General features: G+C 44.4%; 1 protein-coding gene and 1 long non-coding RNA gene across 8 annotated transcripts in view; one reads left to right on the plus strand and one right to left on the minus strand.

Moving 5' to 3' along the window:
* PTPRG (protein tyrosine phosphatase receptor type G) overlaps positions 1-25,444 on the plus strand; it is a 736,039-nt gene that overhangs the window by 644,178 nt on the left and 66,417 nt on the right. For all 7 annotated transcript variants that reach the window (XM_017006961.2, XM_017006963.2, NM_002841.4 and 4 more), the window contains one exon: positions 13,103-13,235. In XM_017006961.2, the coding sequence (XP_016862450.1) occupies positions 13,103-13,235 (133 nt within the window). The remainder of the gene's footprint in view (positions 1-13,102; positions 13,236-25,444) is intronic.
* LOC124909389 (uncharacterized) lies at positions 4,494-25,372 on the minus strand. Its single transcript, XR_007095941.1, has 2 exons — positions 25,288-25,372; positions 4,494-16,924 (listed from the first exon to the last, which is right to left on the minus strand). It is a non-coding gene; the product is annotated as an uncharacterized LOC124909389 (long non-coding RNA).

The following is a 25,444-nucleotide window of genomic DNA, read 5'->3' on the forward strand; positions in this document are numbered from 1 at the left end:
TAGAGATTGATGGAGGTGCTCTGGAAAGGTACTCGTTGACCACGCTGAGGATTTCCTTCTACTAGAAATGAGAAACCAGGGTAGATCTTGGCTGCAGTGTTACTTGATTGATTTTTTGAAAGACCTCTCAGGCCTCTGCGTGGAGATGATATAGGAAGGCAGGAATGGATGAAAGAAGCCCAGTTAGGAGGCAGTGGTAATGGTGGCTTGGACCAGTGTGTTTTCTATGAAGACAGGTGGTGGACTTGGAATTGACTTTCAAGCTTGAGTGTTCAGCCTCTGGACTATGGGCTCTGGCAAAGTAGCATTCTCAGCCTGCTCCTCTTAAACATTTGTTTGACCACATTCCTGAAAAATGTGGCTGCTGAGAGCTTAGGCTGGGAGTATTTACAGTTTGAGAGATGGGAGAGAGGCAGGGACTGGGACCGCCCCAGGTAAGTGGAAATGAGTTCTTGCCATTGGAGTCAGGTTCCAGATTCCAGAGACAGGGGAGAAGAAATGGATGGCAAACTTTGGGGGCTCCCTACTCCAGGTATGAGGTGTGTAGGTCCTCGGCTTCCACCCTACAGAAATCTGAGAGCATCTACAATCTTGGCAGAGTGGCTTTGGGAGTCAGATCAACCCAGTTGGCTCTGTCCCTTATTCACTCAGGGTCCTCAGGTAAGTCTTAGTCCCGTGTCCTCGTTTGCAAAGTGGAGCTAATGATCATGCTTAATGCCGAAGGTGGTGTGGCTGTGGAGACCCCCTCACTGTCACTGACAAATAGGAGCTGTCAGCAGCCCAGGTGCCACACAATGATGGTGACTGTGAGGAGGCCCCCCACAGCCCTTTCCTTTGCTATTGTCTGTGGACATTAAAGCTACTGGTCCCCAAGTAACTGCCATTAAAAATGACCTCCAGATGGCCGAGTGCAGTGGCTCACTCCTGTAGTCCCAGGACTTTGGGAGGCCAAGGAGGGTGGATCGCTTAAATCCAGAAGTTCATGACCAGCCTGGGCAACATGGTGAAACCCCGTCTCTAGAAAAAATACAACAATTAGCAGGGCACAGCGGCTCATGCCTGTAGTCCAGCCACTCGGGAGGCTGAGGTGGGAGATCACTTGAGCCTGGAAGGCAGAGGCTGCAGTGAGAAGATCACACCACTGACAGAGCAAGACTCTGTCTCAAAAAAAAAAAAAAAAAAAAAAAAAAAGAAGGACCTCCTCCTGAAACTCAACACTGGTAAATCAGAGCTTTCCCTTATCACCTTCAGCAAAGTGAGAAGGTCCACTTCTGAAAGCTAAAAAAAACTTCCTTGAAAATTTCAAGCAGTTCAAGTCTGAAAATGGTGGTGATGATTGTTTAAGCCAGATATAAGCAAACTTTTTCAGCTAAGGGCCAGAGAGTAAATGTTTTTCAGTTTTGCAGGCCACAGGTCTCTGCTGCAGCTACTTAATTCTGCCTTGTAGCACAAAAGCCACCATAGACAATACACAGCTGAGAGGATGTGATAGTATTTCAATTAAAACTTTGTTTGCAGAAACAGGCGATGGGTCTGATATGGTCCACAATCTGTCATTTGCCAACCCCTGGTTTACACAGAAATCTGCATGTGCCTGTTGATTAGTAAAGGACGTGAGTGACCTGAAGGTAAAACAAGCAAATCCCACATCAGTCAATGATCCTTCAGGTCTTGCTTCACTTCCATTCACCCTGTCCTTTGCCCTGTCTGCCTCCTCCAGTATGGTATTTATTTTTTAATGAAATCGCCATCATTTTAATGTTAGTGATTTATTTTAAGGACTTTGTGTGTACATTTGCTTTAAATCTGTTACACATTTATTTTTTCTTCATATTAAGGAAAAACAATTACTTTAATCAATACCTGGTCTCTGAAAAGAGTGATAATGTGTAAAGTTACACACTGTTATATTTTTATGAGTATCTCCAAACAGCTTGTTTAAATCCCTTTGGTGTTTCATAACATATTTTTAAGTCCTGTGAGTAGTGGCTTTAATATATTATCTCCCAGGGAAGAAGAAGAAGGGAATCCTTCTATAGAAGAAGTGGCAAACCCAGACACCTACAGAAACCAGTTAATACTAATGAGAAACAAGGACCAGGTGTTAGACATTAGGGAGTGGTAAGGACTGCAGCAAATTAAAGAGCACATGACTTTTCTAAAGAGGGCCATCTCACTCAGCTCCAACAGATTACTGCCAGTGAGAATGCCTAGTGAGCCAGAAATCCAGGTTTTTGTGCAGAACCCCCCAACTTTTAAGTAAGCTCAAATTTTTAAAACAATTTCTGCTTTTTAAAAATGTAGGCCAAACTAAACCCATCCCTGGGCCAGGTAGGAACCGCGGGTGGTCAACCTCTACTGTAGTGTTGATTGCTAGAGTTGCAACTTCCTGAGAAGCCTTTCAGAAGGCTTGAAGGCCTAGGTGTACTCCCTCCCTTTCACCAGGCTTTTTTCTAGCGTTTCTTTAGTGCAAAGCCCTCAGCTGGATGTCTGCTACATGGAAATCCAGCATGTGGTCCCATCCTGAGGAGCCACAGCGTGAGCCCAGAAGCCAACTGATGCAATGAAATGTTCTTGGGGGTACTATGCAGTACAGCATACCCTACAAAAACATTTCAGAGTGGGCATCATCTACAAATTCATCATTTGGTGCTGGGATTTTCCATTTTTGTTTCCTTAAATTAGGGAAACTCTTTTTTCAGGTTGAATCTTGCTCAGAAACTCAGTATGTGAACACTCATTGCTGAAGGTTTACTGACTGCATCTTCTGGCTCAGCCCTGAGTCAGGTGCTAAGGGGACATTCCACTTCAGGGGTCGGCATACCACAGCCCGCAGGCCACTTCCATCCCCTGGCCTGCATTTGCATGGCCCATGAGCTAAGAATGAACACAATTGGGCAGAGGCTCTGGGCTGCTATTCTGCTTTGAGACAGAGTGGAGGGTGCAAAGCTGCAGCCACTCTGCTCCTTTGGGCAAACCATGAGGCGCCTCTTTGGAACTCTTAAGCACTAAGGAACTCAACGTGAACACCTTTAATTACAGAAATAATAACAGCGTCACCAGTGAACATTTGTGCTAGCCCTGCCTATGCAGAAGGCCAGCTGCATATGTCACTGATCCTAGAGTACTCCCATGAATGTCGTACTTTGTTGCTGTCATGCTGGTGAGGGAAGCGAGGCTCAGATGAAGGAACGTGCCCAGAGCCACACGGCCCATGGCAAGACAGAGCCCAAATATGGGCTCTGACTCTATAGTCCAGGGGGATCTTCCCCATGTGATGCTGGCTTTGGCGCCAGTTCCCAGAATGAGCAATGCCAGATGATTTCAGATGCAGTATTAATTAAGTGAATATTTTAATGTGTGCTTTTAAAAAGAGACTAACTTTCCATTGGTGACAGTGGTTCTCAACCAGAGGGAATTCTGTCCTTCTCCCTAGGAACATTTGGGAGCATCTGGAGACATTTTTAGTTGTCATAACTGGCACTGGGGTGCTACTTGGTGTCTCGTGGGTAGAGGCCAGGCCTGTTGCTAAACGTCATATGGCGCACAGGACAGCTCCACAACAGGAACCATCTGGTCAAAATGTCATTAATGCCAAGGCCGAGAACCCCTGATTTATAGTATTCATGTAAAGTTTCCTTATTGAAGAAGTTTACTTGAGGACAAATAGAGTAGTAATTTAAAGACAAAAATAAGTACCAGTACAGGTTCATGCAGATCGGGCAGAAATCATGAATGCAGTACCCAGCTGTCTAGGGATTGGGAGCACTGCAGCATGCTTTATTTAAAATTAGTTACATCAGGCACTTGTAAGGACTATCAGAAGTACTTTTCAGCCAGTGCTAGTTTTGCTCGTCAGGTTTCTTTCTAGAGAAATGTTTTCTTTATAATTCTGCCCACCCCCGTCCTGGTCTGTCATCTTCCTGGCATGTCCGTGGGAACAAGCTCAGGGTAGGCCGAAGGGGTTATTCAGCTGCCAGTATGGTTTAGTTTCTTCTCAGAAAGTATCTGGGTCCTTGGAGTTTCTATTGCCCACTGAACGATCTTTGAATTAAGACACATGGTAAATCTCATGGTATGGAAAACCAGACCCCACTAAGAACAATTAGATTTCCGGAGAGGTTGGAGTCAAGAATTCAGGTTGCAGCAGGTGGCATATTTGGTATAAGATTGGTGTACAACTTCTGTCCGTGACTGATTTCAGAACCACGTACTATTGCAACCAACTGTCAGTGGTGGCCGTCTGATAGGTTAGGGCTTGCCGTCTTTTAGGGGCTTGGAATTAAATTAGGATTTATCAAATGCCTCCCCACTTTCCCACCACCTAATTGAAATAGAGATGACAGACCATCATTTTGATTGTTTGAGTCTGGTGAATTAAGCTCTGCATGAAATGGTAAGGGAGCACTTATTCACAGGAACTCTTGGCAGTGATATAAATGGAAACGAATGATGCTCTAATCCTGCCCACACGAGTTAACACAGAGCCAGTGTCCTGTTGCAAGAGAACATATTTATTTGTAACTGATGAACAATCATTTCTCTGCAGCAGTGGTTTGGGTAACGTCAGGGCTCCAGAAAAATAAAAGGCCAGTTTTGTGGCCCTGTAAAAACAGCAGCCACCTTATCATTTCACACCCGTTAGAATGGCTTCTATCAAAAATATAGAAAATAAATGTTGGCAGAAATGTGGAAAGAAGGGAACCCTTTGTGCACTGCTAGTGGGAATGTAAAATGTGCAGCCCCTGTGGAAAATAGTATGGTAGTTCCTTAAAAAAGTGAAACCAGAATTACCATATGATTTAGCAGTTCTACTTCTGGGTATACACTTGACCCTTGAAAAACAGTCTTGAACTGCTTATATCCACTTATACACGAGTTTTCTTCTGTCTCTGCTACCCCTGAGAGAGCAAGACCAACCCCTTTTCATTCTCCCCTCATCAACCTACTGAAAGATGATGAGAATGAAGACCTTTATGATGACCCACTTCCACTTAATGAATAGTAAATATAAATATGTTTTCTTCCTTAGGATTTTCTTTATAACATTTTTTTCTAGCTTACTTTATTGTAAGAATATAGCATATAATACAAATAATATACAAATATGTGTTAACTATTTATGTTATTGGTGAGGCTTCCGGTCATCAGTAGGCTATTAGCAGGAAAGCTTTTGGAGACTCAAAAGTTATACATGAATTTCTGACTATTCAGGGATTAGCACCCCTAATGCCTATGTTGTTGGTGGGTTAACTGTATGCCCAAAGGATTGAAAGCAGGATCTCAAAGAGGTATTTGTAGACCCATGTTCATGGCAACATTATTGACAATAGCCAAGAGGTGGAAGCAACCCAAGTGTTCATCAATGAGTGAATGGATAAACAAAATGTGGCATATAGTACATACAATGAAATAACTGTTTAGCCTGTAAAAGGAACGAAATCCTCTCACATGCTACAACATGGATGAACCCTGAGGACATTATGCTAAGTGCAATGAGCCAGTCACAAAAAGACAAGTAATACATGATTCCACCTATATCTAGCATAGTCAAACTCAAAGAAACAAAGTAGAATGGTGGTTGCCAGAGGCTGATGAAAGGGGAAATGGGGAGTTGTTTAATGGATATAGAGTTTCTGTTTTGCAAGATGAAAAAGTTCTGGAGATCAGTTGCGCATCAGTTGCACAACAATGTGAATAACTAAACATCACTGAATGGGACACTTAGAAATGGTTAAGATGGTAAATTTTGTGTTATGTGTTTTTCCACTATTTTTTTTTAAAGCAGCCACCTTAATTCACAGATGTGGGAGGTTTTTAATGAGTGGTATGGCTCAGAACAAATATGTTGAAATTCCCCACGATGGAAACAGGCTATAAATTTATAAGTATGCATATCGTCCTTCTCTTTATCTTCCTTGCAAATTAAAGAATCTTGCTCTTCCCTACTCCTGATAGAGGCCTCTTGGATCCAAGCTAGTTTTAGTCTTGACACCAGAGCGGTTCTTGTCCTGTAGCAGAAGTTGAGCCCTTCCTGGAGGGTAGGAGGCATTTCAGATGGGTCCATCTGATGTATTGCTGCCGGTAGCATTTATAGTACATTGTACTCCGTTTTTATTTGCTTCTACTGGGATGAGAGCCAAGCCAGTAAAAGGCAAACAGCATTAATTCAGTGATGACATATGCCACTGAAAACTGTTTTTCTTTTCTTTTTTTTTTTTAATTTTTTTTTAAAAAGCAGAATGGAGGCACTTTACTCAGATTCTGCTGGGTGCTGAAATAAAGACGGAGAGAAAGAAAGGCTGTACGGAGAGAAAGAACGGCTGTGGGGAGGTTGTTAACCTTACCTTCCTCCTGCATACGCTCAGAGAGGGTTCGTTAGCATTTTGCTCCAAGTTTCATGGGGAAGACATTTCAGGAGCAGGCTCATTCTTTGAGTCTGGGCTCTAACTGGCCTCACATCACCCTCTGAGTAGCTGTTCACCTGCACATTACATCCACTGGGGGAGTACTGGGTATCAGTTGATACTCCTTTCCTCATTGTCATCTTTTCTACACACAGATCCAAATGTGCTGAGGAGAATGGACTATGTTATATGGGCAGAGCAACAGCATGGTTAGTTTCTAATTGGCCTAAAAATAAAATCTCTTCAAAAATAAACAGAATTGGAGAAAGCTGCTTTGTACAGAAAGAGCCTCTTCTCTTGAGCCAGGTTATTGGTATCAGGATCATGGTGAGTTTATTAAACCATGATTTTTACTTTCGTTTTTGAGGCCTTTTCAAAAGACCCGAGTTAGTGTTGTTCTGCAGACTCATTGGGTCAGAGTGCCATCTTGCAAACTGAAACCAGGCTGGCCAGAGTGAGCTTGCAGTGGGAGTTGGGAGTGAGGAAAGCTGGTCTGGTGTGACATTAGGGAGTAGTGACGACTGTGGCAAACCAGTGAGACGCACCCTGTCTGAAGGGAGTGTGCCGCTTGGTTCCAACTGATGTGTGCCACGTGGGAATTCAGGCTTTTGTTGCCAACCTTGAACATTTCTAGTGGAAGCTACCATTGCTGATTTTTATCTGAATTCCTTTGCTTATTAAATGTTGGTAGCTATGTCACAATTAAAAAATAACTACTTGGAAGGGGTGTCAAACCAGGGTTGCCAGTTCATAACCCAAGTCAGGCAGGAATTGAAGGGCTAGTCCTGCTGGGAAAACTACATCATCTGGATGAACCAGAGATGGAGGTGAGGAGGAGCTCTGTTAACCCAGAGGTCCTGTCCTTATCTTGGTGTCACAATTTGGGCATCATGGAGGGAAGCAAACCCCCAGTAACTGGGCAGCTCAGTTCTGCTGGACCCTTCAGGAGGCAGCTAGGTTACCAGCAAAGCTCCGAGTGAAAGTGTGCTGCTCCTGACAGAGGGGAGCATCTAGTGTTACTAAACTGTCAGAATTGTTGTTTGGCTCCATTGAAGGAAAGAAAAGAATGAACATTTCTTGGGCACCTCCTCTGTGTCAGGCACTGTGCTTGGTACCTGACTGATCCAGAGCAGCTTCATAAGCAGGCAGCCTGTGCACTCACACAGGCCCTGTGCTCAGAAGGGCCTATGCTTGCTTTCATACTGTCTCATACTCTACTGTCACCTTCTCAAAACTCTTTTATAACTTTCGAATGGGCCCCATGATTTCATTTTGCATTTGGTCCTATAAGTTACATAGCCATAACTTACATAGTCTGTTTTCACACGGACGATCTTTTTTCATCCTCAGGACTCCCCGAGAGGTGAGTGTTACCATTTGTCTCCCTTTGATACAGGAGTGAACAGACACTCAGAGATGGGCATTTACCCAAAGCCACACAGCTGGAAAGGCCTAAGTCAAAATTTGTACTCAGGTCTGCCTGAGTCTGGGGTGCAGAATTGCCCATCTTGTGGCACGCTGCAGCTGTTGTACCGAAAGGCCTACAGCATGTTCTGGTCTCTGGAGGCCTAGGCATGGGGAAGTTTAGCCTCATGGATTGTCGGTGTCTGAGGGCATATAATGATATGGGTGTATACTCAGGGCCACATTTTGTGTGTTGTAGTAGTCCTAGCAGCTTGCTGTTTTATTAGGGCCACAAATTGAGTCAGGGAGCAGGACGGGTATTTCTTCTGAAGGACACAGCAAGAAGTACGGGGGCCGTGCACAGTGGCTCACACCTATAATCCCAGCACTTTGAGTGGGGGCTGAGGCAGGAGGATCCCTTGAGCCCAGAAGTTCGAGACCAGCCTGGGCAACATATCAAGAAAGTGTCTCTACCAAAAAAAAGAGGGAAAAAGCAGTATGATACAGTCTAGTCTCAGGGCAAACTGAGATTCTAGCTCTTTACCAGCAATCTCATCATAGGCAGCCCTTTGTGCTGATACTCAGCACATCTGAAGTTCTGTATGACTGCCACTTACACACTCAGATGTTACAGAGAGGAGTCAGATTCAGCAAACACCCGGTGAGTGCTCACCATCTCCTGCTGCTGTGTGAGGGTGCTGAGGAAGAGAGTGGTGGTGATGATAAGTAATGATGCTGTTGCTAGGATGGTGGCGGGTGATGGTGTTGCCGAAGCTGGGGTGGTGGTGATGACAATAATCACAATAGTTAACATTAACCAGGTGCCAGGCAACATTCTAAGTGTTTTGTATGCATTAACTCATTTAATCTTCATCCCACCACAATGCCGTATGCAATATTATTACTTCCATTTACAGAGGAGGAGACTGAGGCACAACGAGGTTAGGTTAGTTGCCCAAAGTTGCAAAGCTAGTAGGAGGCAGAGCTTTGTAACTGTTCTTCCATACACAGACGGAAATCAGCCCTGCCTTTGGGGACCTAGAGTAACAAAAGAGCGATTATAATTGAGTATGATGTGTGCAGTAAGAGCAACACAAGATGATGATAGTGGTGGTGGTACTTGTCATTTGCTTGATGCCAGGCACACTTCTAGGTGCTTACATGCACCTTCTCATTGAATTCCCCAACAGTCCTATGAAGTAGGCTCTTTTCATCCCATTTGATAGATGAAGAACTCCAGGCCCAAACTGGTTTAAGTTATTGGTTAAAAGTCACACAGAAAATGGCCAAGCCAGGATTTGAACCTATAATCTCTGCTCTGCCCTTAAGAGATAGTACAAACTGGCGGCTTCGGGAAGCCTCACAGAGAAGGCAGCATTTGAACCAGGACTGAAGGATCAATAAGATGAATTCTGGCATCAGGAAAGGAAAGGCACTCCCTGCAGTAGGAATGGGAGGGGCAAAGGCAGAGAGGCGGGACCATGGCTCAGCATGGTCACTGATTAGGTGAGTGTGGCTGGAACCGTGACAGGGAACAGCAGGAGATGATGCTGGGTTGGGGATGGAAGGCTCTGCTCCTGAAGAGCCTTGCTTTCCCCACTCAGGGGTATCCTGAGGGCTATGAGGAGCTACTTAGGAAAGTGACAGGAGCAGATTTGACTTGGTCACCTGGAGATGGAATCCAATTCCAGGTTCCTGGCACCAGGAAGACAAAGCAGTATTGTGAATTTGAAAATGAAATCAACTTTATCATGCCCCACATGAAAATTCAGTCGCTCTTATTTTTGCTTGGCTTTTATGTAAAAGACCCAAGCCAATGAAACTGCCTGCCATTAGTCAAGGTCAGAGTGAAACTTGTCAGAAAAACTTCCTTAGGTCTCTCACTGACACTACAAGTTATTGCCAACCTGAGAGCTCCTCCACAGAAATTACCATTTGGAGACTGTCCACAGTGGGATTTCAGATAGGCTCCAACCCCCTACGGGAACCCCCCCCCCCCGCCAATTATTACACACTTTCACCAAATGTTAGAGGGAGAAATGACTCCATTGTGGAAATCAAGTTTGAGCCCAGCTCTGACCTGGGCTGTGACTCAAGAGCCTTGTCTTCAGGACCTTCATTCTCTCTCTATGCTGGTGGTTCTCACTTTTTCTGGGGCCTGAACCTCTCTGAGAATCTAATGAAAACTGAACACTCACCCTGTAGAGGAGGAGAGGGGGACAGACATTATCACCAACACAGAGATGCCCCTGTGGCTTGAGGGACGATATAATGTGCCACTGATCCACACAACCAGATGGTCACTCCCTAACCCCTTCCCAAGGCCGAGAAATTCTGGAGTGGTCACTTTTCACTGGTTTTAGAATGGCTGAAATATGCTGGGCGCGGTGGCTCACGCCTGTAATCCCAGCACTTTGGGAGGCCGAGGCGGGAGGATCACTTGAGGTCAGGAGTTTGAGGGCAGCCTGAGCAACATGGTGAAACCTCGTCTCTACTAAAAATATGAAAATTGGCCAGGCGTGGTGGCACACACCTGTAATTCCAGGTACTTGGAGGGCTAAGGTGGGAGGATCGCTTGAGCGTGGGAGGCGGAGGTTGCAGTGAGCCGAGATCATGCACTCCAGCCTGGGTGACAGAGTGAGACCCTGTTTCAAAAAAGAAAAAAAAAAAAAATGATAGAAATACCACAGAGGTGGTATTGCCAGTGATTGTTTAGGGATATAAGTGTGAGGGACTATTTTGGCCAAGAGTTCCTTTCTGTGGTTCGGGATGAATAGGACATGGAGTTTGCATTCTTTGTAGCAGCACAGGCAAGAATCCTGTTCTGTAAGGAGTGAGGAGAGGAATAAGACACTGAGAGTCCCTCCTGTACCCAAGGGCTTCACAGAGTGGATACTGATTTTAACTGAACATGTGGCCTATAGCGTCAACCCTCCCAACATTGTTTTCCATTAACAGGACATCCAGGTCTTTGAGATTCCCCCCCCTCCCCCACCAGCCAGATAATTGCCTGGCTGGGCCACCCCCTTCTGGGACCCCACAAAATTATTCTTATTTGCAACTCTGGTTCCTCTGGCCAGCCACCAGAGCTCTGCTATAAAAGCATTATGTTGATGGAGAGAAGGCATGCCTGATCTTTGTCTGCTTTGGCTTAAAACCCTGCAGTAGTTTCTACTGCTCTTACGACTAAATTCAGTTTCTTTATTTCAGCCTAAAAGGCCCTGGCTTCATCTGCCTTCCAATTCCCCATCTGGGTCCTCCTCCCTCTCATTCTTGAACTCCCACTGATTTGATGGTCTCCGTGCAGAACACCCTTCTTCCCCAACTCTCTGTTTGGCTAACTCCCCTTCATCCTTCAACACTTGCCTTCGTTGGGGAGCTCATGGAGACCTGGGCTTGGAGAGCTATTCCCCTATGGCCCCCTGTGCTTCCCCTGGTGCCACATTCATTGCATTCTAATTAATTGTTGTTGTGCCTGCCTCTCCCCATTTAAAAGATTCCTCCCCATGGGTACAGCAGTGCTACTATCTGATGTACTGATGTGTCCCCATCCCCTCGCACCAGGCCTGTGCACAGTAGGGGCTTGGTAAGAATCTCTCCTATCTAATGAAAAAATGGAGCAGGGAGTTAGGAAAATGGGCAGGCACAGCTAGGAAGGCACTTTATAAATGGCAAAGTGCTCTGTGGAGGTTTTTAATCAGAGTGTGCTGCACCTACTTGACTCTGTCTTCTTACCTGTGAGCAGGGGATACATCAGGTCCTGTCTGCGTCACAGGCCTGTGCCTGAAACAAAGGAGGTGGTCAACATCAAATGCATTAGAGGAAATCCAGTGAAACGCATCGTAACACACTTCTTCCTGACTCGGGAGTCTTGCCTCTTTAAAAATCTGCTCCCATAGCCAATTCTTTCTTCCCTACTCAGCCTACCTTCTCTCACCTGGAAACTCAACCTGATTAGCTCTGCATTTAGTCCATCCTGCAGAGGGACACTCCGGGCTGGCTGAACGCTGGCCTCGTTTTTGCAGTGCAGGAGGAATCCTTGCTGGGCTCAAGTCAGCCTGCAGCCAATGTTAGATTTTTTTAAGGGGCTTCTCCCTGTGATCACAGGCAACCTTTGCTTTTTCACTGCTTGCCTCTGTGCACCTGTGCTCTTCCCAGCCCCAGCACCCCAACCAGGGCTTCATTTGGGCCACCTGGCATGTTCCGGGCATCTTCTTCACAGTGGAAGGGAAGATAGGATCTTCTGCTGAGGCTCCTGGGGACTTCTGAAGACATTCAGGGCCTGGAGAGGTGGAGGAAGGAGCTGCCTGGTTAACAGGTATTGGCCGACCAGAGAGAATCCTAAACTATTTGGCAAGCTTTCCCTGCTAACCTTTAGATTGTGGCTGCTGGTTACAGACGTGCTCTGGGAATAGGGTGTGGTATGGCTTCCTGTCTTGGGAAAGAAAATAGGAGCTTTTGGAAGGATCTGGGGTAGGTGATAGGATCAAAGGACAAACTGGAGAAGCATATTTTAGGAAAAACAGGATCTCTGGGGATCTGGGTGGTAGGAGCCCACGGACAGAAGCACCTAGGTGCTCCTGCTGGGATGTGCTGTTGCTCAGTCTTAGAGTCGGTGGTTGAGATTCTAGGGCAAGATGTCATTGTCCTGGCTTGAGTGCTAAATCGTTGACCAGAGCAGGGAGCCCCACACTCCGATGATTGTCCCACCATGACTGTGTCTGTTAGGGAAAGGTGGTTTCCCAAAGCAGAATTGGGGTGTAGTTGTTACTACAGGAAAGAGTAAGGGATGCTGAGCAGCAAAGAATAGATGGCCATCGTAGTCACAGCCAGTTCTCCTAGTTATCCTAGTGAAACCCATCATGCCAGCCCTCTTGCCCTTGCCCTAGAGAACCTGAGAGGCTCTTGGACAGCCATTCCACCCTTGCTTCTTTGAGACTTCAGCACATGTCCTCAGCACATTCAAAGGCTCTTCTGGGTCGGTCATGTTCTTGGGGTAAGGCTGGAATGTCTATGTCTTCTGTACAGCTGTCTAAAAACACCTTCAACTGTATCTGTAAATCCATATAACTGCCAATTACAGAATGCAGCCCATAGAAGAGGCCCTGTGTGGGTTGGGATGGGGCAGGAAATGGTGAGGGCTGCGGATTGCCCCTCCTGTCATGGGGCAGCTCAGAGCAAATGGCCCAGTTCGCCAGAAACCACACAAAACTGGAACAGAACTCTGCATCAATTCTGGCTCCCACCTCCACTAACCTCTGTCCTCTAACTGGGATGATTTCTCTTGGCAGCGGAAAAAAACACCTCTGGAATGATAAGCCGCCCTGCTCCAGGGAGGATGGAGTGGATCATCCCTCTGATTGTGGTATCAGCCTTGACCTTCGTGTGCCTCATCCTTCTCATTGCTGTGCTCGTTTACTGGAGGTAAGCCAGGCAGCACCTACAGCGTAGATTTGGGGGCCAGATGCTGGCCAGGTTTTGCTCACGGGAGGGGAATCCCACGGCCTCTGCATTCAGGAAGGTGAGGTAGCTTAAGTGTTTCTGGTCTTGCCACCCGGAAGGCCATCTTGTCTCTGTTAGATGATGGCAGGGCCAGATCCACTTTTGAGGTCAAGGCATTTATGGTAAGCTTCTGGGATTTAGTACCAAAGAGGTTTTTGTTTGAGAACCAGGGAGATCCAAGTTCAGATCCAAGCTCTGCTACTTGCTAGATCCAAATCCCGTGTCCACTTTGATTGTTAGTTTCAGAACCAGCAAAATGAGTTAACAAGTCATAGCATTTGCAGTTTTTCTGAGATGATGCTTACTTTGTTGTAGTCACATAATAACTCCTCTTTACCTTAGAATTTTTTTTCATAGTCTTTCACTGAAAATTAAATTGGGTGATAGGAAAACATTTAGCATATTATGTGGTATTTAATATATGTAAGATTAAAATGGCAGATTGTAAGCTATCCGGATTCTCACTGCTTCTCATGGGAAGCCAGGTTGCAGCCTCTGTTTAGAAGTTGTGTTTTTTCAGCCGGACCGTCTCAGCCAGCTCAGCTGAGCAACTCCGTCAAGCCCACTCGTTTGGCCTGGGTGCCCTCACCTCTCAGACTAACGTAGGAGGCTTCTGCCCTTTATCTGACAGGCTTCACCAGTGAGAAACAGGTGTCATATTTTCATCTCTCCCTCCCTTCTTTCCATTCACTCAATTTTGAGCCCACACTTTGTGCCAGTCTTCTAGACACAAATGATTTCTGAAGAAGTGAGTAAAACAGATAAGAATCCTTACTGTCATGGAGCTTACAGTTTAGTGGAGGAGGCAGGCAATAAACAAAGCAAATAAGTAAAACATGTAATTTCTAAGATGGTGGTAACTGGATAATGGAGAAAGCTTAAATCTGGAAAGGGGAGGGGCCCATGGGGGCCTAGCAGGAGTGTTCAGAGTGGTCAAGGAGATGATACCTGAGCAAAGACCTAAAGGAGGAGGGAACCAAATGGGCTCCACCTGGGGCAAGTTCCAAGTAGAGGAAACAGCACATGCAACGGCCCTGAGGCAAGGGCATGCCTGGTGTGCACCAGGAACAGCCAGAGGTCAGTGGGGCTGAGACGTGAAGACAGGGGTAAGGTGGCAGAAAAGGGTATCAGAAAGAAACAAGGTAGAGCAGGATCGGGTCATGCTGCACAGCCTTGTGGGCCATTGTTAATGCACTGCCTTTCACTCGAAGATGAGTAGGGTTTGGTACAGAAGAATGTTATGATTTGACTTGAAGATTACTTGGCTGCTGTGTTGAATACAGACTGAAGAGGAGCAGGGGCAGAAACAGAGACCATCGGGGAGACTACTGGACTAGTTCAAGAAGGACACGATTGTGTCTCAGATGAGGGTAGCCGTGTAGGTGGTGAGAATTCATTGTGTATAGATCTATTTTGAAGGTGGGAGCAACAGAATCTGCTGGCAGATTGGGTCTGTTCCTAATTGGCTGGAACAGAAGAATAAGGAAGGAGGTCATCTCAGGTTTCCTCGGGCGTCTGACGGTAACCATAAGCCCTTTAGTGCTGCAGACCAGCAAGTTTATGAAGTATGTTGTATTTTGGGGTGAGCATAGGAACACTAGACTCACCTTCATGTCATCCCTTCTCCAGGAAAAAGTATTGTGCAAATATGTTTGAAGCCCATTGGTAAACTGGAGGCCACCTAGTGTGAGTTTAACTAATCAAGTGAGGTTAACAAGGTCAGCATGCCTATCTCTTGGCTCTGCTCAGCACTGTTTGGTTTTAGTCTCAGACTGTCACCACAGGGGAGCAGAGAAGTCCCACAGCTGCCACAGCATAAAGAAACACTTTGTACCCAGCAATTCTGGCAAAACCCTCCAGATTGTTTCTGACTGGCCCACCTTGGATCCTCTACCCACCCCTAAATGGATCACAGTGACCAAGAAGGACCATGGGGCCAAACAGGCATCAATACCCAGCCAGCCAAAACATGAGTATTTACTACAGGTTTCTTATAGGGAAGGGCTGTGTCATGTAGTAAACAGCTTTAAAATCCTTCCATTCAAGATGTATTTTCCCTTTAGAAAATGACAACTGTTTATACTTCTGAAAATCTCAGTGAGTCCAAATGGAAAATATGAATTGAATAATATCTTAATATTTCCTGTCTGAAATATTTTTATGATGTTTATTATACATGTATGCATATATTTCATCAAAAGCTTCATTTAAAGTAACCAGAGCTTTAAACTTCATCCAACAGAGTCTGGACTTGAGCTTTTACCAAATTCCTACTCCCAGTAGCACAAAAAATGAGTGTGAAAAAGAAAATTCTTATAGAGCAAGGAAAGTAAAATTAAATTAGTGTTAGGATGAATGAGTTGGCTAAGCATACAGCCTAGAGGGGACAAGGACCTTTTTTCTGTCCAACTTTTAAAAAATTATTATTAATGCGAAAGAAGAAAGCATTGGGGAGCTCACATAGAAAATTGGTAAATACAGAGGAGACATGCGTTTCCCTTTGGCAATGCAGTTTTTTAGCTAGAACAACAGTGCTTTTCTTCTGCCTTTTGAGGCACAGTAAGACTGGATGATTGGCAAACAGACTTGACATAAGTAGAGCATTGAGGCAGATCAAAACCTTCTGGATCATTTCTTCAGGAGGCAGGCCTGGCACCGGGGGGTTCAAACCTGCTCACTGTGGCAGCATTTTCTACCACAACCAAGGAATGGCCCTTTGCAGTTATTCTGATTTTTGAGTGTGTTTTCTCCAAGTTGTTGATACTACAACTTAATAGGTTCATGAAATAGTGGAAAACTACACTCAAGGTCTCTGAATTCTGTCTCTTCCAAGTCTCCCGCTGTACAGTGGTGTTAGTGCTAATGTTCAGTGAGTCCTTTTGAGTGCCAGGCACTGTGCCAAGCACTTGGGTGGCACCAACTCATGTGATTCTCACAACAGATCTGTACGGTAGGTACTATCACTGTCCTTTCTATTTGACCCACATTCTTTGACCAAGGAAGAGAACGAGAACTCACATTTGTTGAAAGCCTGCTATGGGCCAAATAGTTGGCAATATCATCACCAGAACCCTTTTGTTGTTCAGAACCCTTTTCTATTGCAGTTGACAAAAATCCATTTCAAAATGCCTTAAAGCTCAAGGGGAAAAAAAAAAGTTTGATTCATGGAATTGAGAAGTTCAGGAGCATTGGGCCTGGCTGAATTTGTAAGATGGAACATCAGGACTTGGCTGGTTTGGTCTGTCTGTGTTTCTCTTGCCGTCAGTTTCTGGGATTTGCTGTCTGTGTGGTCTTCTCGCTCAAGCAGGCCCTCTGCCTGTTTGTACAGAGCAGCCTCTGGCCATGTTAGACTTACATGTCTCCACCCCAGTGCAAAGGGAATCTTTCTTCTCTAATAGTTCCACTTAAGTCCCAACATGGCATCTCTTATTACTGACTTCTGTCATTTGTCCATACCCCGGAGTCGTCTGGTGGCCAAAAGGATGGAACATTCTTGTCAGGCCTAGGTCTTATATTTAACTCTGGAGCTCAGAAGTAGGATCAGTACCATTGCCATCAAAACCTTGGACTGAAGCCGAACAAGGGATGGCTTTCCAAAGGACCATCAAGACCTAAAAAAGTGAGTAGAAGGTTCAGCTAAGTATTCTGTTACTTAAAAAATTATAAAGCTGTTTCTATTGCATGTGCACTGGAGCCATTTTCAGCTTCCTATTATTTATGCAATGCTTACAGAGTTCCTGCCATGCATCCTGGTGGGCCTAGAGATTTAGAGATCAGGTCCCTTGGCCCTCACAGTCCATTGGAAGAGGCAGATGAGTAAATAGAATTGAGTATGGGGAGTATTTGGAGAAGGATAAATCCAAGTTGCTATAACAGCATATAGGAAGGGCTTCAGCCCAACCTGGAATAGGGGTTGGGGTCAGGGAAAGCTCCCTGGAGGACCTGGGCCTTGAACCACAACCAGCTGTCAGCCAGGTGAAGAGGGTGTGGAAGAATGAGGCTGGGGAGAAAAAGCCTGGCCTACTGCAAGCAGATAATGTGGCTCAGTGTTGTTGGAGCAGAGTGTGGGGACAGCAAGGGCCGGATCATGAGGGCCTCATCGAAGGGAGATGTGCCATATCCTGAGGATGATGGGAAGGTATTGAAGGAGCCAAAACTGCAGGAGGGCAAGATCAGAAAGAAACACTACTGTGTCTAGAGACTGTAACACGGGCCTATAGTCACATAGCCTGGATTTGGAGCCACACTCCACCACACTGTTTATCTGTGCAGCTGTGGAGCATGTGTTCCTACCAGCAGTGCTGTCATCTCTAAGGTGTGAATTTGTTTTGGGGAGATTTTTATAAACTTATTTTGTGTATAAAGCACAGATTTACATATACATAAATAGCATTGTGCATTCGTGGTATTAAAATTGGCACTGGGCAATTGGGGGGGCGGAGTCTAAAAGGGCCCCTCAGAGGAGGTGCCAATGAAAAACAGGTTGAGAAACACTGCTTTAGACAAAGACTTCTCCACCAACTTCGGTTTCCTCATCTGCAAAATATAGTTAAGAAATGGGCCACAAGTTCACGTGAGGATTCGGTGCAAGCTATGGAAAATGCTTGTCCTGGTGCCTGGCACATGGTGAATGTGAGGTAGTGTTATACCAGATCTGACTTTAGGGAAAAATGGAAAATGTAACTCTGGGTCCTGGTATGCCTCAAATGAAGTTTTTTTTTAATAAGGAAAATCAAATGTACAGAGCTAAATGAATTTTGTCCTTTAAATGTCATCACATTGTATAGCTGTACAGAGTTTCCAATATGTCCATTGCATACAACATGCTTGAAAATAACTTTTGGAATTTCTTTCTAGAGTTCATTCTTTTGAAGGATCTCAGTTGTGCAAAGTATTTATCCTAGAAATAGATAAAACTCATCTGTTTAGAGCTAAATATAGCATAAATGTAGGTTAACCAACTGAGCAGAACCACTTTGGGCCAAAAAAGGAAAGGGGTGACTATAATGTTAATGAAATTGGTTTGGGTGATGCTCCTAATAGGCCTTAAAGTCAATTCCAGAGGAGGACATCCCTAAATAACTGGGTTAAAGACATGACCCCACTCCCACCCGCAACCCCAGGAAACAACTCTGAAGCCCAGTGGCCAGCCTCATTAATTCCAGGTTGGCTGTATTAGAGTAAGCTTCATTGATGTTGCAGCAGACACACCCTAGAACCCCAGTGGCTTAATAACACACAAAGGTTTATTTCCCACCCACGTGAGGTCTGACAGGGTTGAGCCGCCCTCCTCCACCAGTGGTTTCTCTTTCTGGAACACATATCTCCCAAACTGGTGTAGCAGGGATAGAGAAGTTGAGGAGGCACCAAGCTCTCAACTGCTTGGCCTAGAAGTGGAACCCTTCACTCCTTCATTCACCACTGGCCACAGATGGTCACACAGCCCCAAGGACACAGATGAGGTAGGGGGAACACGTGGGTATTTGTTAAGCACTGCCACAGTATTCTTAAATATTTAAACCCATTGGTATCATTGAATTATGTATATGTTTCCTGAAAGGGAGAACTTTGGAGACCAATCATTAGTCTGTACTTAAAATTTGGCTGAAACTAAAAACCATGAGCAGAAACCTCGGATACCTGTATGTCTGAGAGACCTCAGACATCAGTCTCATCGGGGACTATTTGAGCAGTGTTTTTATAGGCAGCAACATGGATCTGTGGGGAGACATTTATTCTAAAATGTTTTTAGCTGAGCTGTTTCAGGTAGGACACTATAGTTCTCCCTTGAATGTCCCTCGCAAAGGTCTGCCTTGAAGAGCTGTAGGAACCAGAATCTGTAAAAACACAGAAGTTGCTATAAAACTAGGAAGAAATGTAAGCAAAGTGATTTTGGACAAGGGGCAGGGTTGTGAGGCAGATAATAAAAATAAAATCAACTAACAGTTACAGCTTTAATGGCACCCTATTGTGTGCCTTATAAATATTGCAATCCATACAAGCATGCAGTGGTTCAGAGCTATTGGAAATAAGGGGAAAAAATCAATTCAAAAGTTTTCACAGTGTGCCATTTTGGTCTTTTTACTTAAGATGGTAGTAAAACATACCTTTTGAATTCCAACAGTCAGATACTGCATTCCAAGAGCTTCGCATCCCCTGCCTTACCAAGACAAGCTGTTTTTATGGCAATAATGTGCTGACATTCCTGAAAAGACTTGGAGCAGCACAGCTGCTGCCACTCAGAGAGAAGAGGAAAATTTTGGAAGGTTTCTTTTTGATTTACATAATTTGAGGTTAATGCTGGGAGAGGAGCTATGGGAGAGGAGCTATGTGCCCGGTGTCCAATCAGTGTGCTAGGGGGTGCAACTTATTAGTTGTGCTGTAGAATAGCATAGCTATTAAGAGCCAGACATTTCTGTCTGCTTAGAATTGTATTACAAAGATATTTTTAGTTTTGTTTTTTTTTTTTCTGTAATCCTGAGGGATGTTGCATAGAAGGTAGTTCTTATTGCTCTGATGAGCAATATCTCACCCCTGAAATGGCTTTGTATATCTGAAAAGGCTTTGTATATCTAAAGGTTCTTAAGCAAAAAACCTTTTTTTTTTTTTTTGAGATGGAGTTTCACTTTTGTCACCGAGGCTGTAGTGCAATGGTGTGATCTCGGCTCACTGCACCTCCACCTCCTGGGTTCAAGCAATTCTCCTGCCTCAGCCTCTCGCATAGCAGGGATTACAGGCACCCACCACCACGCCCAGCTAATTTTTGTATTTTTGGTAGAGACGGATTTTGCCATGTTGGCCAGGCTAGTCTCAAACTCCTGACCTCAGGTGATCCACCCGCCTCTGTCTCCCAAAGTGCTGGGATTACAGGTGTCAGCCACCACGCCTGGCCAAGCAAAGAACCTTTTATGACTATGTACCATACTAGACATGTGCTCAGCAGATTATACCCCCACCTAATTAGTATACGAATCCTGGGAAATAATCAGTATTGTTATGTTCATTTTGCAGATCAGAAAACAGAGGCTTAGTAAGATCATGTGACATCCCCAAGTCGCAGCGTTAATTTTTGGTGGATTGTGGATTTGAACCCAGACAATTTGACTTCATAGCCCACTGGGTTAGCCAATACGTTATCTTGTCCAGAGGAGGAGTAGCATGCCTGGTGGCATATACTTCCCTCCATAGCCTACTTTTATAGTGCATGTTTATGTGTCAAAAAGACACTCCAGGAAAAGGGGATGTCTCTGCTGCTGGACATGGTGGGAGTAAACTGGTTTGGAAGGCCAGATATAAATCATCCTTTGTTTTGGATTTGCCAAAATCATGTGAAAGAAAACTTAAGAAACCAATTATATTTTCAGGTGTTCTGGAAGCTAACTAGTGGTACTCACTCAGTTACATCTCCATTATTTGAGAAGATTTTTATGTTGAATAATATAACCTATTTGGTCTTAGTCCCAGCTGATCAGTGCTAGTTTTCTTGATATTAAATGTTTAATATCTTATTGACCATAATTCTAGCCTAGAAAAAGACTTGCAAAAGTATAGAGCAGCTTTACTTCTCAAATTCAGATAGGACTGAGCTAACTGCAGATTCTGGAACAGAAAACTGGAAACTCCCTAAGTGGGAATTGTAACATCTGACCCAGGTTTGTTAAAATTTGGTATGAGAAGGATTTCACACTCTGATCTGGTAGATTCACTTCAGCACATGACCAAGCCATCTGTAAATTCTGTGGTAAATCAGTCAACACCAATTTAGCCACATATGCAAATAGGAAAAGGTCTCTCTTTTACTCTAAGTCCCATCTTTAGATTTTCAGAAATTTTGCCATGTGTTGGTGCCTCCTCATTAAGAATGCTGTTCATGAAAACAAGTGAGTTTTGTTGACATTGCAATTTTTTTTCTTCCCTGGATGTTCAGTGGGAGACAGAGTGTAATAAATATGAAGGGATGCAAACCGCAAATGTGTGGGGGATTTGTGTTGGCATAATGGAGGCTCAGGCAAACAAACAGATGCATGCGAGAGTCGAGAGTGGCATGTGGTAACACCCCTCTCTTGCTTGAGGGATGACTGACCACATGTGCCTCACTGGAACACAGATCCCTCCTGTACTGCCACAGTAGCAACAATGACACCAGAGCTGCTGTGAGCCCAGGCACATGTTCTTCACCCATCTGCTCTAGCGGCCGACACTTCCAGGTCTACTTGACGATGACTGGGTTTTTGGTATAGGTGTTTGTCCCCTTTTCACCCCAGCAAAGTCACAAAGGAGACAGGTATCATAAGAATGACTTCTCACATACAGGTAACTGTGAAGACGTAGGAAAGGGGAAACACCCCTGTTAACCAGCAATAATAGCTGAATTAATACAAAGAACACCTTATGTTATTTAATCCTCCAGCAGCCATGTGTGGTAGGCAAGGAATCAGGGACTGCATCATTCTTGTCCCAAGAGAGGAAACGGTTTCCAGAAGGGGGAATGACTTGTCCAGGATCATAGAGCTTGTAAGTTTTAGAATTTCTCAGACTTAGGGTTTTGGGTTTTTTGTTGACCTAAGGCCCTTTATGGCTGGCCTAGTTACTCCTTTGTTAGTTCATTCAACATTTCTTAAGCATCTAGTTAGTTCCAGGCACTGGAGAGCCATTGAGGGGACAGAGTTCCTGCATTTAAGGGGCTCATACCTGAGAGGAAGAGAGGAGCAGGTAAACCAAGGTAATCCCAAATAGAGGTCAAAAACTGGTGGCCTCCAGACCAATTTTATTTAGCTAACATGTTTTTTTAAAATCTTGAATTATTTAGAAAATAGAAAGATGTGATGAAAAACCCCAGTTATCTGGCTTCTTCTGATAAACCGGACAATTTAGCAATGTGTTCTCAGATTCCCTTGTGTCCGTTGGTGGCTGGATGGTGCTATGGTGGCCCATTTTTGAGAGGCTCTCCCTTGCCAGTTTGCCAGTCTCTGCCCTCCCCGCTATTCCCTGCCTGTTTGGCCCCTGTGGGTGGTTGATTTTGCATTCCCCTGGGTTGCAATAGTGATCAAGGAAAATAGTGTGTTCTGGGAAGGACTCTGACCACAGCCAGGGTTAGGTGAGAAGGAGAGGGAGCCAAGAAGGATTTCTCGGAGGAGAGAATGTTTGGACTGTATTTTTTACAAAACAAAGAAAAAGGAGGCTGGGCGCGGTGGCTCATGCCTGTCATCTCAGCACTTTGGGAGGTCAAGGTAGGTGGATCACGAGGTCAGGAGTTCAAGAACAGCCTGGCCAAAATGGTGAAACCCCGTCTACTAAAAATACAAAAACAATTAGCCGGATGTGGTGGTGGGTGCCTGTAATCCCAGCTACTTGGGAGGCTGAGGCAGAGAATTGCTTAAAATCAGAGGATGCAGTAGGTGGAGATCACGCCATTGCACTCCAGCCTGGGCAACAGAGCAAAACTCCATCTCAAAAAAAAAAAAGAAAGAAAGAAAAAAGAAAAAGAAAAAGGACAAGTGCTCCAGGCAGAGGTCGCTGTGTAGGAGATGACCCAGAAGCACTGGATCATGGCACATTCATTATTTCTTAGGGCAAACTCTGCCAAACTGCCCTTCCTTTATGCAAAGCAAAGTCCACTGTTAACGGGTAGAATCAGATTCTTTTCTGGAAGATTCTACATGTACAAAGTACAAAGGCACTGGGTCAGTCCTGGTTGCTCAATGTCCTCTTATGCTGAGGGAGAGTGAGAATCAAAAGGTAGGTTTATATAAAACTTTGTCTAGTTTGGAAAACTCTGAGCTTCCAAGTCATTATTTTTGGTGGGTTTGTGTGATCACCATCTTTTCTACCAACAGACCATTTACTGGACCACAGGTATTCTGGCATCATTTTTTTCTTTTAAAACTGGTGAGTGTGCCATTCTTTTCTTTTTGGAACCCATATCTGTGGCCATATTTCAAGACTTTTTTTTAATCATTAGGAATAATTTTTACAGTTCAGCTTTTCAAAGCCTGACAATGTGTCAAGCCATTGGGGAGAGCTCAAGCACATTTTGTGGTGCCAAAATATGGCTTGCCTCAGAGGGTTTGAGTTTATGACGACACCCTGGTGTTAAACTATCTTGCTCTGAGATGCTAAAAGAGATGGGGGTAGGGAGTCTTTTGAGGTCCCCAAACTGTTCCTGGAGGTGGTCACCCCTTTTTTTCTTTCTCTATGTGCCTGTGCTGGGAGATCTGGGTCACATGGCAGCTAATGCTGTGGATCCCAGGCAACTTTTTGCTCAATAACTGTTTCCCAAATGGCTACTCAGGGGCCTTTCAGAATTCACGAGAGCTGTCAGTTGTTATAGTAACCGGCCCCCTGCTGTCGAATTGGCCCTGAGATGCCAGTGGAAGCTCTTGGAACAAGCTAACACATAGTCATTAGACAAAAGCGGAAAGAGATTCACTGCTAAAGGTTGCCAGTTAAACATGCTCCATGATACTTAAAAAGCTGGACTGATTCTGTTAGGGAAGCGGTGGGTGGGTAAATTTTTAAACCAAGCTTACTTTTCAGGAAAGGGAAGCTCCTTGTATGTTCAGTCTATTCTAGGTAACAACCATCTTTCTTTGGATTTCTCAGAATTAACTGTCTTCTCCCCCCGGGGTTAATTATGTCTGTTCTGCTGGTTTGCTCAGGTAGCCTCAAATATCTCAATTATTCAAGATATTAGTTATTGATTGTGTGGCATTTGCTTCTCAGCAAAAGTGTTGTCAGTTTACGGGTGGTAGTTTTAAGCGCCTGTGATTGTGTGTGAGGAAAAACTGCGGAGATAGCCGGCTCTGCTCCAAAATTCCTGAAAGAGTGAATCTGGCAGAATTCAGAGTAGGGCTAAGGGTTGAGAAAAAGTCTAAATATTTTAGGAAGCTGCAAATTTCAAGTTTTTATGAGAATTTGTAAAAACATTCCAACACACTCATGATTTCTTCAGATTAATGTTCATAGCCACACTGAGTATATCCATGATGTTTGTAGGACAGTTGTTGTAGTTCCAGGATGTACTCAATAGAGGGAGACAAGAAGTTCTGTGTTACAGCAATCCCTCCCCCCTTTTAATCGTATTTCCAAGTTTGACTTCTCCAAGTTTTGGTTCCTGTGCCAAGCACTTTTACCCAATATGGAGTCTAATAATTAATACAATCATTGAAAGCTTGTATTAAGGGTGAAGAAAACCTAACACTCCAGAATTAGAGGATGTTCATTCCTAGAAGTGAAAAACCACCAGCGGACTCAATAGTTAACAAAATGTTAACTCCTTTGGAATTACATACCTGGCTTCAGAATTCTTTGTGGGACTCAACAGAACTTCCAAAAAAAGAGAACTTCCATATATCTGAGTTTGTCATTGCTATTTTATCAACAGAGTTTGGAAAGAATAGGAATCATTTCAGTGTGAAATCCTATAGCCCAGCTGGTTTGGGAGACTAAATATAATTAAATAAATACTTTCAAGTGTTCTTGTGTGACAGAAGTGCATCTTTCAAATTCTGTAGCCAAGTCTCAGATGCTACAGTTATTTAAGTTTTAAGGAGAAACTAAATATAGGACTTAATATATAGTAATAACTTGCCAACTGCTGTTCCCATCTCCCTGAGGTGCCTCTCCTATTTATTCTCCAATCTGTATTGTGAATTAAGAAAATGTTTGTTCTGAGATGAGAGGAAAGCATGGGGTAAAAGACAAAACCCGAAATGTGTCTAATGGCACCAAATTCAGAGACATTTGTGGCAGAAGGGAGGACCAAATGATCTCCAAGTTCACTTTACTCCAATGATATTTTAAGCCATTCTGTTTGCCAGGGCAGTGTGTCAAAGGTGGAAGAGTGGGTATATGAATGACAAGGGTCATCACTGTGTTTGTGATATCCTAACCTTCCATTAACACCGGGGTAATAGAGGCTGCGAATATGTAAAGATGACTTAAAAGAGTAAAGTTCCCACTGGGTATTTCTTACCTCAGCATAAAAGCTCCTCATAAGCTCCTTTGTGCATAAGCATCCTCTTTTGAAAATGTCACAGATGAGGCCTGATGACGGGGTCTGTCTGTGTTAGATGGGAGGGGAGGGCATTTGTATGCAACTCTTGGTGGCCAATTGAAAATACTGTATTCTA

This window comes from Homo sapiens, chromosome 3, assembly GCF_000001405.40.
Source record: "Homo sapiens chromosome 3, GRCh38.p14 Primary Assembly".
NCBI lineage: Eukaryota > Metazoa > Chordata > Mammalia > Primates > Hominidae > Homo > Homo sapiens.